The 13,694-nt window shown below is 51.9% G+C and overlaps 1 protein-coding gene across 5 annotated transcripts in view, besides 12 other annotated features; it reads right to left on the bottom strand.

Annotated features, from left to right (window-relative positions):
* The window catches only part of SNX8 (sorting nexin 8), a 102,728-nt gene that overhangs the window by 57,032 nt on the left and 32,002 nt on the right, over positions 1-13,694 (bottom strand). The window contains exon 1 of one of the 5 annotated variants that reach the window (NM_013321.4): positions 5,527-5,640. The exons of 1 other annotated variant lie outside the window; for it this stretch is intronic. In NM_013321.4, the coding sequence (NP_037453.1) occupies positions 5,527-5,620 (94 nt within the window). In that variant the 5' untranslated portion in view covers positions 5,621-5,640. Of the gene's footprint in view, positions 1-1,003; positions 1,156-1,251; positions 1,273-3,602; positions 3,870-5,526; positions 5,641-13,694 lie in introns of those variants that run through there. 3 more of the 5 variants (XM_011515329.3, XM_047420281.1, XM_011515330.3) reach the window with 3 other exon arrangements.
* Positions 678-1,187: an enhancer, noted in NCBI's record as "H3K27ac-H3K4me1 hESC enhancer chr7:2349114-2349623 (GRCh37/hg19 assembly coordinates)". NCBI's record gives its function as "activates a minimal SCP1, AML or CMV promoter by ChIP-STARR-seq in naive H9 embryonic stem cells {active_cell/tissue: H9 hESC(naive)}" and the evidence as "EXISTENCE:reporter gene assay evidence [ECO:0000049][PMID:30033119]".
* Positions 1,188-1,698: an enhancer, noted in NCBI's record as "H3K27ac-H3K4me1 hESC enhancer chr7:2349624-2350134 (GRCh37/hg19 assembly coordinates)". NCBI's record gives its function as "activates a minimal SCP1, AML or CMV promoter by ChIP-STARR-seq in naive and primed H9 embryonic stem cells {active_cell/tissue: H9 hESC(naive and primed)}" and the evidence as "EXISTENCE:reporter gene assay evidence [ECO:0000049][PMID:30033119]".
* Positions 1,699-2,207: an enhancer, noted in NCBI's record as "H3K27ac hESC enhancer chr7:2350135-2350643 (GRCh37/hg19 assembly coordinates)". NCBI's record gives its function as "activates a minimal SCP1, AML or CMV promoter by ChIP-STARR-seq in primed H9 embryonic stem cells {active_cell/tissue: H9 hESC(primed)}" and the evidence as "EXISTENCE:reporter gene assay evidence [ECO:0000049][PMID:30033119]".
* Positions 3,290-3,359: an enhancer, noted in NCBI's record as "active region_25523". NCBI's record gives its function as "activates an Ori minimal core promoter by ATAC-STARR-seq in GM12878 lymphoblastoid cells {active_cell/tissue: GM12878}" and the evidence as "EXISTENCE:reporter gene assay evidence [ECO:0000049][PMID:35858748]".
* Positions 3,380-3,549: an enhancer, noted in NCBI's record as "active region_25524". NCBI's record gives its function as "activates an Ori minimal core promoter by ATAC-STARR-seq in GM12878 lymphoblastoid cells {active_cell/tissue: GM12878}" and the evidence as "EXISTENCE:reporter gene assay evidence [ECO:0000049][PMID:35858748]".
* Positions 3,750-3,829: an enhancer, noted in NCBI's record as "active region_25525". NCBI's record gives its function as "activates an Ori minimal core promoter by ATAC-STARR-seq in GM12878 lymphoblastoid cells {active_cell/tissue: GM12878}" and the evidence as "EXISTENCE:reporter gene assay evidence [ECO:0000049][PMID:35858748]".
* Positions 3,870-3,999: an enhancer, noted in NCBI's record as "active region_25526". NCBI's record gives its function as "activates an Ori minimal core promoter by ATAC-STARR-seq in GM12878 lymphoblastoid cells {active_cell/tissue: GM12878}" and the evidence as "EXISTENCE:reporter gene assay evidence [ECO:0000049][PMID:35858748]".
* Positions 5,316-5,555: a silencer, noted in NCBI's record as "silent region_17865". NCBI's record gives its function as "represses an Ori minimal core promoter by ATAC-STARR-seq in GM12878 lymphoblastoid cells {active_cell/tissue: GM12878}" and the evidence as "EXISTENCE:reporter gene assay evidence [ECO:0000049][PMID:35858748]".
* Positions 5,656-5,925: a silencer, noted in NCBI's record as "silent region_17866". NCBI's record gives its function as "represses an Ori minimal core promoter by ATAC-STARR-seq in GM12878 lymphoblastoid cells {active_cell/tissue: GM12878}" and the evidence as "EXISTENCE:reporter gene assay evidence [ECO:0000049][PMID:35858748]".
* Positions 5,656-6,244: a biological region, named in NCBI's record as "H3K27ac hESC enhancer GRCh37_chr7:2354180-2354680".
* Positions 5,744-6,244: an enhancer, noted in NCBI's record as "H3K27ac hESC enhancer chr7:2354180-2354680 (GRCh37/hg19 assembly coordinates)". NCBI's record gives its function as "activates a minimal SCP1, AML or CMV promoter by ChIP-STARR-seq in primed H9 embryonic stem cells {active_cell/tissue: H9 hESC(primed)}" and the evidence as "EXISTENCE:reporter gene assay evidence [ECO:0000049][PMID:30033119]".
* Positions 6,245-6,745: an enhancer, noted in NCBI's record as "H3K27ac hESC enhancer chr7:2354681-2355181 (GRCh37/hg19 assembly coordinates)". NCBI's record gives its function as "activates a minimal SCP1, AML or CMV promoter by ChIP-STARR-seq in primed H9 embryonic stem cells {active_cell/tissue: H9 hESC(primed)}" and the evidence as "EXISTENCE:reporter gene assay evidence [ECO:0000049][PMID:30033119]".

Raw genomic sequence — 13,694 nt, forward strand, 5'->3', positions numbered from 1 at the left:
GAGCTGGAGTCTTGTTCTGTCAACCAGGCTGCAGCGCGGCACCATCTCGGCTCACTACAACCTCTACAACCTCTGCCTCCCAGGTTAACGCAATTCTCCCACCTCAGCCTCCCGAGTAGCTGGGATTACAGGCACTCGCCATTATGCCCAGCTAATTATTGGATTTTTGTACAGACGGGGTTTCACCATGTTGGCCAGGCTGGTCTTGAATTCCTGACCTCAGGTGATCCGCCCACCTCGGCCTCCCAAAGTGCTGGGATTACAGGCGTGAACCACCAGGCCCAGACACAAATCTTTTTTTTAAATAGGGATGGGGTCTCACTCTATTGCCCAGGCTGGCCTCAAACTCCTGGCCTGAAGTGATCCTCCTGCCTTAACCTCCCAAAGTGTTAGGATTACAGGTGTGAGCCACCACACCCTGCTCAAAATGTATAAATAGGCCCAGTGGGGTGGATCACCCCTGTAATCCCAGCACTTTGGGAGGCCAAAGCAAGTGGATCACATGAGGTCAGGAGTTTGAGATCATCCTTCCTGGCCAACATGGCGAAACTTCGTCTCTACTAAAAATACAAAAATTAGCCAGGTGTGGTGGCACACGCCTGTAATCCCAGCTACTGGGGAGGCTGAGGCACAAGAATCACCAGAACCAGCCGGGCGCGGTGGCTCACGCCTGTAATCCCAGTGCTTTGGGAGGCCAAGGTGGGCAGATCACCTGAGGTTGGGAGTTCGAGACCAGCCTGACCAACATGGAGAAACCCCGTCTCTACTGAAAATACAAAATTAGCCAGGTGTGGTGACGCATGCCTGTAATCCCAGCTACTCAGGAGGCTGAGGCAAGAGAATTGCTTGAACCCGGGAGGAGGAGGTTGCGGTGAGCCGAGATCGCGCCATCGCACTCCAGCCTGGACAACAAGAGCGAGACTCCATCTCAAAAAAAAAAAAGTATAAACTTTAAGTGACAGCGCAATGAATTCTGACCAACGTATTCACACAGAGAACAGACCTGACATGAGCGAGCAGCTGCAGGTAAGGGTTGATGGGAGCCCAGGGTGCATGGAAGTCGCCCAGGCAAGAGGGGAAGGCTCGGGGCAGGGGTGAAGGAGCCCCGAGGGTCAGCAAAGGCCCTGGACCTGCCTCAATGACACTCAAGGAGTCATCGCCAGGTCAACGCGGACAAACAGCACGGAGCTTCCGAACCGAATGGAATGTATGGAATGCCATGGGATGAGCCGCAAGTGAAGCGTGACTCACCCTCGTTCTAAAGAGTCAATGTAGGGCCGCAGGACTGTATACGGCAGAGCCAGGATACGCCGTGGTCATCTGTACATATTTCTATCCATGTATTAATCGATCCCGAGAAATCAGGCTGGACGACCAAGCACACTTACCACACTCACTGCCGTTCTCGCTGGATGTCACAATCATTGAGCTTCATGACCTAAGAACAGGCCCTGAAAAAAACCCTTATCCTGCATAGTCAGAGGACAGAATGTTCCGGTCAATCAGATATTTTGACAGGAATAGTTTCAATATAAAATCCAGCCAGGCTCGGTGCCTCATGCCTGAAATCCCAGCACTTTGGGAGGCCCGGGTGGGAGGATTGCTTGAGGCCAGGAGTTCCACACCAGCCTGGGCAACACAGCCAGACTGTCTCTACAAAAAATTTTAAAAATTGGCCAGGCGTGGCTGGGCGCAGTGGTTCACCCCTGTAATCTCAGCACTTTGGTAGGCCGAGGCAGGCAGATCATGAGGTCAGGAGATCAAGACCAACCTGGCTAACACGGTGAAATGCCATCTCTACTAAAAATACAAAAAATTAGTCAGGTGTGGTGGCAGGCACCTGTAGTCCCAGCTACTCAGGAGGCTGAGGCAGAAAGAAGAATGGCGTCAACCCAGGAGGTGGAGCTTGCAGTGAGCCAAGATCGCACCACTGCACTCCAGCCTGGGCAAAAGAGTGAAACTACGTCTCAAAAAAATAAATAAATAAAAATAAAAGGAACAAAAGAAAGCTAGAGAATATACTACGCTAGGGAAACATGAGCACACTTATATAAGGAAGTATATGTTTCCTGAGTACATATATGAATAAAATGTGAAAACAGAACTAAAACGGTCCATCCCAAACTGAGAACAATGGTCACCTCTCAGGTACAGACAGGAGATGATGGCAATTAGGATGGGACTTTCACTTAATCTACAATGTTCTATTCTTTTTTAAAGAAAATACATTTGTCCATGTATGGCATAACTGAAAATTAAGTTTTTATAAAGAGGGTTGCCCTAGAGAGCATTCACAGCTTAAGCTTCAAAGAATTCAAATAGAATGAGACTCTTAATGTGGAAAAGTACAACAAGCACATTTTTTTCTGGCAACACCGAAGATGCAGGAGATTTCACAGTTCCCACATGAATACCACCAGTGGGCTCTGGCTGTGTGGCCAAAACTCTAGAGAAGAGGAAATTCACTGTATACCCGTAAGGCACAACCACTCCTTCAAACCAACCTTAGTGAACGTGTAAGTCACACACATAGTCTCCGGACAATATTCAGAGACTTAACTTTTTTCTTTGCTGTTTTTGTTTTTGTTTTCTTTTTTAAAAATTTGAGACAGGATTTCGCTACGTTGTCCAGGCTGGTCTCTAGCGCCTGGGCTCGGGCGATCCTCCCTCCTCAGCCTCCCCAAGTGCTGTGATTTCAGACGTGAGCCACAGTGCTTGGTCTCAAGGCTGAGGTTTTCTCACTCCAGCCCACCCAATCAGGGTCCCCATCAACACACATTCCCTTGACATTGCCCACTTTGGGCAAATTACTTACCTCTGGATTTTAGTTTTCTCAATGTAAAAAGACCTGCGAGGCCGGGCGCGGTGGCTCACGCCTGTAATCCCAGCACTTTGGGAGGCCGAGGCGGCTAGATCACGAGGTCAGGAGATCGAGACCATCCTGGCTAACATGGTGAAACCCCGTCTCTACTAAAAATACAAAAAATTAGCCGGGCGTGGTGGCGGGCGCCTGTAGTCCCAGCTACTCGGGAGGCTGAGGCAGGAGAATGGCATGAACCCGGGAGGCAGAGCTTGCAGTGAGCCGAGATCACACCACTGCACTCCAGCCTGGGCGACAGAGCGAGACTCCGTCTCAAGAAAAAAAAAAAAAGACCTGCTATACCACTTCACCCACCTGCCAGGATGACGACCAAGTTTCAAACAGAAGGACAGTCTACGTCCCAAGAGTCTGTGAGCCCCACTTTCAGACTTGCCTGGTTACAGGAAAGGGCACTGTGAAGCACTGCCTTGTCCCAGCAACCCCCATCTGTGGATCCCATCAGCACTCCTGATGAAATCACCACTGCCCCCAGAAAAAGCCAACTACCTACAGGAATTCCAGGCCACACCAAAGGGAGGGCGGTCTCCCAGAGACACAGCTCCCTCAGGTGTACAGCGCTCAGACTATCTCTAAATTACACCATTATGGTAGCCTCTGGAGTCTACTTCTGTGAAGCCTGAAGGAAACACAGTCCCCTACACCTGCAGAGGACCCCTCCAGCAATGCCAAATTGCTTTACAAGCTGAGATAGCAGCAGCATTCCGATCCAATCACAGCCTACCTGTTCCCAAGTGACCCCTCGGAAAGGGTCCCGCCTGAGACTCACGCTGGCCTCCAACATGTGACTTCATGGACACAATGTTCTAATCAGCGAGAACTATCACGTGCCTCCCCTTACACTGATACAAGGGAAAGGAAAAAATAACTGAAGACCCATTCTGAAAGGCCCTTCTTTCTAGACACAGTCTTCACATCGAGGATGCCCACCAAATGCAACAATCCCTCCCCTGCTCCCCGCTGCCGTTTCTCGCCGACGAAGAAACTGTCTACCAACCCTCCAGAGCTCACTTCAGTCATCACCTCCTCAGCGACACCTTGCCAGACCTCCCCACAAGGGGATTCCCCAATCTTGTCCCCCCCCACCAAGAAGAAACCGTAACTCACACCAACACCCACCTACATCTCTTCTCTGGCAGCTAGGACCACAGGAAGGAACATCCAGAAATAAGGGGCACCCTCCTGTATTCCTTCTAATGTTTAGCCTCGTTTGTTTTGTTTTGTTTTGTTTTTTTTGAGGCGGAGTCTCGCTCTGTCGCCCAGGCTGGAGTGCAGTGGCGCTATCTCGGCTCACTACAAGCTCTGCCTCCCGGGTTCACGCCATTCTCCTGCCTCAGCCTCCCGAGTAGCTGGGACTACAGGCGCCCGCCACCGCGCCTGGCTAATTTTTTTTGTATTTTTAGTAGAGACAGGGTTTCACCGTGTTAGCCAGGATGGTCTTGATCTCCTGACCTCGTGATCCGCCCGCCTCGGCCTCCCAAAGTGCTGAGATTACAAGCGTGAGCCACCGTGCCCAGCCATGTTTAGCCTCATTAACCCAAATCCCTTAAAGAGAAATACAAGAGGCCAGGCGCGGTGGCTCACGCCTGTAATCCCAGCACTCTGGGAAGCTGAGGTGGTTGGATCACCTGAGGTCAGGAGTTCGAGACCAGCCTGGCCAACATGGTGAAACTCCGTCTCTACTAAAAATACAAAATTTAGCCGAGTGTCATGGTGGATGCCTGTAATCCCAGCTACTCAGGAGGCTGAGGCAGGAGAATCGCTTGAACCCGGGAGGCGGAGGTTGCAATGAGCCGAGATCGCACCATTGCACTCCAGCCTGAGTGACAGTGAGAATCTGTCTCAAAAAAAAAAAAAAAAGAAAAGAAAAGAAAAAGAAAAAAGAAAAAGACAGAAATACAGGCCAGGCACGATGGCTCATGCCCGTACTCCCAGCACTTTGGGAGGCCAAGGCAGGAGGACCGCTTGAGGCCAGAAGCTCCAGACCAGCCTGGACAACATAGCAAGATCCCATCTCTACAAAAATAAAAAAAATTACCGGGCGTAACTGCACGCGCCCGTAGTCCCAGCACTTTGGGAGGCTAAGGCGGAGGATCACTTGAAAGAGAGAGAAAAGCAGCTACACATCTATAGATTCGGTTCACAGATGAGAAAACAGAGGTCCCGAGAGGTGAAATTACTGGCCCAAGACCACACAACCGACAGGAGCTTGGGAGAGAGGATGTGGCTAGGAAAGGCGCCCAAGTCCGGGGAAGTGGCCCCCAGTGCCATCGCTCAGCGTGACCAGGCAGGGCAGAAGAGCAGGGCACCAGGAACGGGGCGAGGAGGAAACTGTCCCCGAGGACGCCTCTGAGAGCCCCGGGAAAGCGCCTCGGAACGCGGCCAGCTGTAACCTGGACAGGGCTCTCCCGGCGCAGGAGGGCAGGGGACCCCGAGGGACGGAGGCGCGAGAGAGCACGGGGACCCCCAAAGGACAGGCGCGCAGGAGGGCAGGGGGACCTCCGAGGGACTGGGGCGTGGGGCCGAACGCGGGGCGCGGGGGCAGGAAACGAGTCGGGGACCAAGCGCGGCGGCTGAGCCCCGTCCGCCGGGGGTGGTCGGGCCGCGCGCCCTGGGCAGGTGGGGGCTACCGCCGCCCCACGCCCTACCTGACGCCGGGGGATCCGCCTCCTCGTCAGCCTCCGCCTCAGCTGCCGCCCCGACTGCAGCCGCGGGCAGCGGGTCCATCGCGCGGCCAGTCATGTGAGCCCGCGCTCCCACGTGACTTCCTCCCGCGCCACCCGGCCGCGCAGCCCTGCCGCGCCGCGCCCTCGCCCCGCCCACACCCCGCCTGGTCACGCCCCCTCCCCCGCGCGCCACGCCCACAGTCCGCCCCTGCGGGCCCGCCGCGCTCCTCGCCCGGCCTCGCCACGCCTACAACCCGCCTAGCCACGCCCACATGCCCCTCCCCGTCCACGTGGACACGGAGCCTGCTGGTGGCGCAGGTTACCTCCCCTCAGGTTGGACCTCCGGACTCGCAGGTGCACTACCTCAGGCGCAAGCCTGCACCCACCGCACCCTCATTCACTCCCATCTCTCCTCGCCCAGTCACGCCCTTGTTCGCTCATTCACCGGTTACACTGGGGTTTTCTGACTCGCACTTCCTCATTCATCCACTCACCCACTCATTCGCTCACCCACGCACTGCATCCTGCATTCATTCATTCACCCACTCACTCACTGCATCCTACATTCATTCATCCACTCACACACTCACTCACCGCATCCTGCATTCATCCAGCCACTCACTCACTCACTGCATCCTGCAATCATTCACCCACTCACTCACTGCATCCTGCATTCATTCATTCACCCACTCACTCACTGCATCCTGCATTCATTCATTCACCCACTCACTCACTGCATCCTACATTCATTCATCCACTCACACACTCACCGCATCCTGCATTCATCCAGCCACTCACTCACTGCATCCTGCATTCATTCATCCAGCCACTCACTCACTGCATCCTGCATTCATTCATTCACCCACTCACTCACTGCATCCTGCATTCATTCATTCACCCACTCACGCACTGCATCCTGCATTCATTCACCCACTCACCCACTCACTCACTGCATCCTGCATTCATTCATTCACCCACTCACCCACTCACTCTCTGCATCCTGCATTCACTCATTCACTCACTTATTGCATCCTGCATTCATTCACCCACTCACCCACTCACTCACTGCATCCTGCATTCATTCATCCACCCACTCACTCATGCACTGCATCCTGCATTCATTCATCCATTCACTCACTCACTCACTTACTGCTTCTTCATACGTTCATTCACCCACTCACTCACTGCATCCTGCATTCATTCATCCACCCACTCACTCATGCACTGCATCCTGCATTCATTCATCCATTCACTCACTCACTCACTTACTGCTTCTTCGTACATTCATTCACCCACTCACGCACTGCATCCTGCATTCATTCATTCACCAACCCACTCACTGCATTCTGCATTCATTCAGTCACTCACTCACTGCATCCTGCATTCATTCATTCACCCACTCACTCACTTACTGCATCCTACATTCATTCATTCACTCACTGCATCCTGCATTCATTCATTCACCCACTCACTCACTTACTGCATCCTGCATTCATTCACTCACTCACTAACTGCATCCTGCATTCATTCACTCACTCACTAACTGCATCCTGCATTCATTCATCCACCCACTCACTCACTCACTGCATCCTGCATTCATTCATCCACTCACTCACTCACTGCTTCTTCATACATTCATTCACCCACACTCACTGCATCCTGCATTCATTCACCCACTCACTCACCCACTCACTGCATCCTGCATTCATTCATCTACCCACCCACTCACTCATGCACTTCATCCTGCATTCATTCACCCACTCACTCACTCACTGCATCCTGCTTTCATTCACGCAACCACTCACTCACTGCACCCTGCATTCATTCACCCACTCACTCACTGCATCCTGCATTCACTCACCCACCCACTCACTCACTGCATCCTGCATTCATTCATTCACCCACTCACTCACTCTGCATCCTGAATTCATTCACACAACCACTCACTCACTCACTCACTGCATCCTGCATTCATTCACCCACCCACTCACTGCATCCTGCATTCATTCATTCACTCACTCACTCACTCATGCACTGCATCCTGCATTCATTCACGCAACCACTCACTCACTGCATCCTGCATTCATTCACCCACTTACTCACTGCATCCTGCATTCATTCACCCACTCACTCACTCACTGCATCCTGCATTCATTCATTCACCCACTCACTCACTCACGCACTGCATCCTGCATTCATTCACACAACCACTCACTCACTGCATCCTGCATTCATTCATTCATTCACCCACTCACTCACGCACTGCATCCTGCATTCATTCACACAACCACTCACTCACTGCATCCTGCATTCATTCATTCACCCACTCACTGAGTCACTGCATCATGCATTCATTCATGCAACCACTCACTCACTCACTGCATCCTGCATTCATTCATTCACCCACCCACTCACTCACTGCATCCTGCATTCATCCACCCACCCACTCACTCACTCACTCACTGCATCCTGCATCTATCCACCCACCCACTGGCCCACTCAGGTTTGCTGGCTGCCACCAGGAGGTCAGGAAGCCCTGTGCTGGGTGCTGAGAATACAAAGATGTTTCCTGTGCATTCCTTGATCTGGAGGAGGCACAGATGGCCAGAGTGGAGCAAGTGTGCTAACTGTTCCAAAACGGGAGCAAGGCTGTGCAACACACCGCAGAAGAGGGTGAAGGGTGAAGGGCGATCCCTTCCCTACATGGGTGAAGGGATCCCTGGATGGGTGGTACCAGAGTTAGGGCTGGAGGAATAAGGAGTTAAGTAGGAGGAGGGCACGAAGGCTCTGAGACATCAGCTGCAGATGCTGTGGTCATTCCAGGCTAAAAGTGTGGGGTTTGGCATGGAGATTGGTAGGCCTGCATCAGGAAGGGCTTGTTTCCAAAGGAAGGATCCTGGACCTTCTTTTTTTTTTTTTTTTTTTTTTTTTTTTTTTTTTTTTTTTTTTTTGAGACAGAGTCTCACTCTGTTGCCTGGAGCGGAGGGCAGTGGCATGATCTTGGCTCACTGCAACCTCCGCCTCCCAGGTCAAGCGATTCTCCTGTCTCAGCCTCCCGTGTAGCTGGTATTACAGGCGTGTGCCACCACACCCAGCTAATTTTTGTATTTTTGTAGAGATGGGTTTTCACCATGTTGGCCAGGCTGGTCTCGAACTCCTGACCTCAAGTGATCCGCCCACCTTGGCCTTCCAAAGTGCTGGGATTACAGGTGTGAGCCACCGTGCCCGGCCATCCTGGACCTTCTAACGCTGATGTCACACAATGTCCGGGGAGTTGATTACAGAACCAAGAGCCCAGAACCATGTCAGTTCCTAGGAAGCGTCCCCTTCTCACAAGGTAGTTACTTCCTCTGGCTATAGCTGCTGGACCCTGCCTCGGTAACAGATGACTGCACCTAGGACGCCATAGGGTCCCCGCACACCAGGACCTCCATGCAAGCAGGCACACCATTGATGCTCTCTCCACCATAACCTGGGAGGCCAAGGTTGCAGTGAGCCGAGATCGAGATGTCCTTCTGCTGATGGACATATAACAACTTTCCCTAGGCACAGTGGGACATGGCAGGATCCTGTGACCTCCCCCCATATCTGATAGCTGCTTCCTTCCTCCACCCTCACTTCCTTCCAGCTGCTGTTGCTGCCAAATAATGTACTCAGCACTTTCCCTGTGCCACGCACACATATATACTCTGCCCACTTCCTGATCATATTTTTATTAGAGGCAGGGTCTTGCTGTGTTGCCCAGGCTGGACTGTAGCTGCCCAATCATAGCTCACTATAGCCTCAAACTCCTGGCCTCAATCAGTCCTCCCACCTCAGCCTCCCAAGTAGCTGGGACTAAGGCACAGGCCACCATGCCCAGCTGTTTCCTACGTATTTTTGGTCTCAAACTAGATTATAAAATATTTACTTATTAAATTTGTAGCCAGGCACAGTTGCTCACACCTGTAATCCCAGCACTTTGGGAGGCTGAGGCAGGCAGATCACCTGAGGTCAGGAGTTCGAGACCAGCCTGGCCAACATGAGGAAACCACTACAGTCTCTACCGGGCGCCTGTAATCCCAGCTACTCGGGAGGCTGAGGCAGGAGAATGGTGTGAACCCGGGAGGCAGAGCTTGCAGTGAGCCAAGATCATGCCACTGCACTCCAGCCTCGGCAAAAGAGCGAAACTCTGTCTCAAAAAAAAAAAAGAAAAAAAAAATTAGCTGGGCATGGTGGCAGGCGCCTGTAATCCCAGCTACTCGGGAGGCTGAGGCAGGAGATTGCTTGAACCTGGGAGGCAGATGTTGCAGTGACCTGAGATTGCGCCATTGTACTCCAGCTTGGGCGAAAACAGGGAGACTTTGTCTCAAAAAAAAAAAAAAATTTAAAATTAATTGTACTCAGCTGGGCACAGTGGCACATGCCTGTAATTCCAACACTTTGGGAGGTCGAGGCAGGAGGATCACTTGAGCCCAGGAATTCTAGACCAACCTGGGCAACATAGTGAGACCCCATCTCTAAAAAAAAAAAAAAAGCCAGGCACAATGGCACACACCTATAGTCCCAGCTACCCTGAAGGCCAAGGCAAGAGGATTGCTTGAGCCCAGGATGTCAAGGCTGTGGTGAGCTGTGATCGCATCACTGCACTCCAGCCTGGGTGATAGAGCGAGCCTCTTTGTCTAAAAATAAAAAATAAAAATAAAATTGTTGCACTAAAAAACTGTAAATTGGCCGGATACGGTGGCTCACGCCTGTAACCCCAGCACTTTGGGAGGCCGAGACCAGCAGATCACCTGAGTTCAGAAGTTCAAGACCAGCCTGGTCAACACAGGGAAACTCCGTCTCCAATAAAAGTACAAAACTTAGCCGGGTGTTGTGGCACATGCCTGTAATCCCAGCTACTGGGGAAGAAGCTGACGTGGGAGAACCACTTGACCCGGGGAGGCAGAGGTTGCAGTGAGCTGAGATCACACCACTGCACTCCAGCCTGGGTGACAGAGTAAGACCCTGCCTCAAAAAAAATAAAATAAAATAAAAAACTGTAAATTGTGGCCAGGCATGGTGGCTCACGCCTGTAATCCCAGCACTTTGGGAGGCAGAGGTGGGCGCATCACCTGAGGTCAGAAGTTCAAGACAAGCTTGGCCAACCATGGCCAACATGGTAAAACCCCATCTCTACTAAAAATACAAAAATTAGCTAGGTGTGGGCCAGGCGCGGTGGCTCACGCCTGTAATCCCAGCACCTTGGGAGGCTGAGGTGGGCAGATCACAAGGTCAGGAGATCGAGACCATCCTGGCTAACACGGTGAAACCCCGTCTCTACTAAAAATACCAAAAATTAGCTGGGTGTGGTGGCGGGCGCCTGTAGTCCCAGCTCCTCGGGAGGCTAAGGCAGGAGAATGGTGCGAACCTGGGAGCCGGAGCTTGCAGTGAGCTGAGACTGCACCACTGCACTCCAGCCTGGGCGACAGAGCGAGACTCCGTCTCAAAAAAAAAAAAAAAATTAGCTGGGTGTGGTGGCGGGCGCCTGTAGTCCCAGCTACTCAGGAGGCTGAGGCAAGAGAATTGCTTGAACCCAGGAGGCAGAGGTTGCAGTGAGCCGAGATCATGCCACTGCACTCCAGCCTGGGCAACAGAAGGAGACTACATCTCAAAACAAACAAACAAACAAACAAAAAACCGTAAATCGTTATACAAGTATAAAAGTACAATAATACCTTTATTGTATTTTTACATTTTACATGTGAGGCCAGGCACATGGCTCACGCCTGTAATCCCAGCACTTTGGGAGCCTGAGGCAGGCGGATCACCTGAGATCGGGAGTTTGAGACCAGCCTGACCAACATGAAGAAACCCCCTCTCTACTAAAAATACAAAATTAGCCGGGCATGGTGTCATATGCCTGTAATCCCAGCTACTTTGGAGGCTGAGGCAGGAGATTTGCTTGAACCTGGGAGGCGGAGGTTGTGGGGGAGGATTTTTTTTAAAGTTCCTCAGATAATTCAAATGTGCAGCCCAGTTGGAAGACCCCTGCTCTAAGTTGAAAAGTTTGTCTTCTTCCTGTGAACATTTCCAGAGTATTTACTGTTTATCAAAATTTGTATGGCTAGCAGCTGGGCACAGCAGCTCACACCTGCAATCTCAGCAGTTTGGGAGGCCAAGGCAGGAGGATGACTTGAGCCCAGGAGTTCAAGACCAGCCTGGCAACACAGCAAGACCCTGACTCTACAAAAAATACAAACAAAAAAATTAGCCTGGTGGTGGTGTGTTCCTGTAGTCCCAGCTACACGAAAGGCTGAGGTAGGAGGATCGCTTGAGCCTGGGAGGTCGAGGCTGCAGTGAGCCATGATTGCCCTGCTCCACTCCAGTCTGGATGACAGAGTGAGGCTCTGGCTCCGAAAATATAAACAAGGCCAGGCGCGGTGGCTCACGCCTGTAATCCCAGCAATTTGGGAGGCCGAGGCGGGCGGATCACCTGAGGTCAGGAGTTTGAGACCAGCCTGGCCAACATGTGAAACCCTGTCTCTACTAAAAATACAAAAATTAGCCGGGCCTGGTGGTGGGTGCCTGTAATCCCAACTACTTGGGAGGCTGAGGCAAGAGAATAGCTTGAACCCGGCAGGTGGAGGTTGCAGTGAGCCAAGATCGCGCCACTGCACTCCAGTCTGGGTGACAGTGAAACTCTGTCTCACAATAAATAAATAAGTAAAATAAAAATAAAAACAAAAACGAAATGTGTGTAGCCGGTGGGAGGCACTGCAGGGACAGCCAGACAAGGTCTCTGTCCTGCAAAGCCTCCTGATGGAAGCAGGTGGAGAAGAACACAGCAGAATTCTCACACACGCAGAATAAAGCCAGGGCTACAGGTGGGAACGTGAGGGCTGTGGCAGGAAACGGTGGGGGGAATAATCAGCTCTAATCCAGAATGCCGACAGGAGAGAAAAGGCAGTCTTCATACATCGTCAGCTCCGCTGCTGGATCCCTCTAGTGTTTGGAGAGTGCCTTGGGAATGTGCACCGACACGTCTGCCTTCAGCAGATCCTCCCCACAGAATACTATTCCTGCGTATTCAGGGAACTGTAAAAAGAAAATGGAATTTCTTTTTTTTTTTTTTTTTGAGACGGAGTCTCCCTCTGTCACCCAGGCTGGAGTGCAGTGGCGTGATCTCAGCTCACTGCAAGCTCCTCCTCCCAGGTTCATGCCATTCTCCTGCCTCAGCCTCCCAAGTAGCTGGAATAACAGGCGCCCGCCACTACGCCTGGCTAATTTTTTGTGTTTTTAGCAGAGACAAGGTTTCACTGTGGTCTCGATCTCCTTACCTTGTGATCCGCCCTCCTCGGCCTCCCAAAGTGCTGGGATTACAGCTGTGAGCCACCGCGCCCGGCCTTTTTTTTTTTTTTTTTTTTGAGACAGAGTCTCACGCTTGTCACCCAGGCTGGAGTGCAATGTTGCGATCTCGGATCTCGGCTCACTGCAACCTCTGCCTCCCAGGTTCAATCAATTCTCCTGCCTCAGCCTCCCGAGTAGCTGGGATTACAGGCGCCCGCCACCATGTCCAGCTAATTTTCGTATTTTTAGTAGAGACAAGCTTTCACCATATTGGCCAAACTGGTCTCGAACTCCTGGCCTCAGGTGATCTGCCGCCTAAGCCTCCCAAAGTGCTGGGATTATAGGCGTGAGCCACTGCGCCCGGCCTCGAATTTCTCAATTCTAAAACATTTTGCTTAGTAGCAAGAACCCAGTTATATCACGATGGTTAATCTGTTTTTTTGATTCACATGTAGTGCTTTTCATTTAGGAAAATGGGAACTAGCTGGGCAAATGGACAGAACTTAGCATGCAGAGCATCGGAGTCAGAATTTAACTACACAGGAGGACGTGCAGAAAGGACCTGCTAAGGACCTTTCAGAAACAGTTACTAAAATGCTGGTGTGGTGGCTCACGCCTATAATTGCAGTGCTTTGGGAGGCCAAGGCAGGAGAAGTGCTTCAGTCCAGGAGGTGGAAGCTACAGTGAGCTATGATTGTGCCACCGTATTCCAGCCTGGGCCACAGAGCAAGACCCCATCACTTAAAAATAAATGCTGGCTGGGCGCCGTGGCTCACACCTGTAATCCCAGCACTTTGGGAGGCCAAGGCGGGTGGATCACCTGAGGTCAGGGGTTCGAG

Source organism: Homo sapiens, chromosome 7 (genome assembly GCF_000001405.40).
Source record: "Homo sapiens chromosome 7, GRCh38.p14 Primary Assembly".
NCBI lineage: Eukaryota > Metazoa > Chordata > Mammalia > Primates > Hominidae > Homo > Homo sapiens.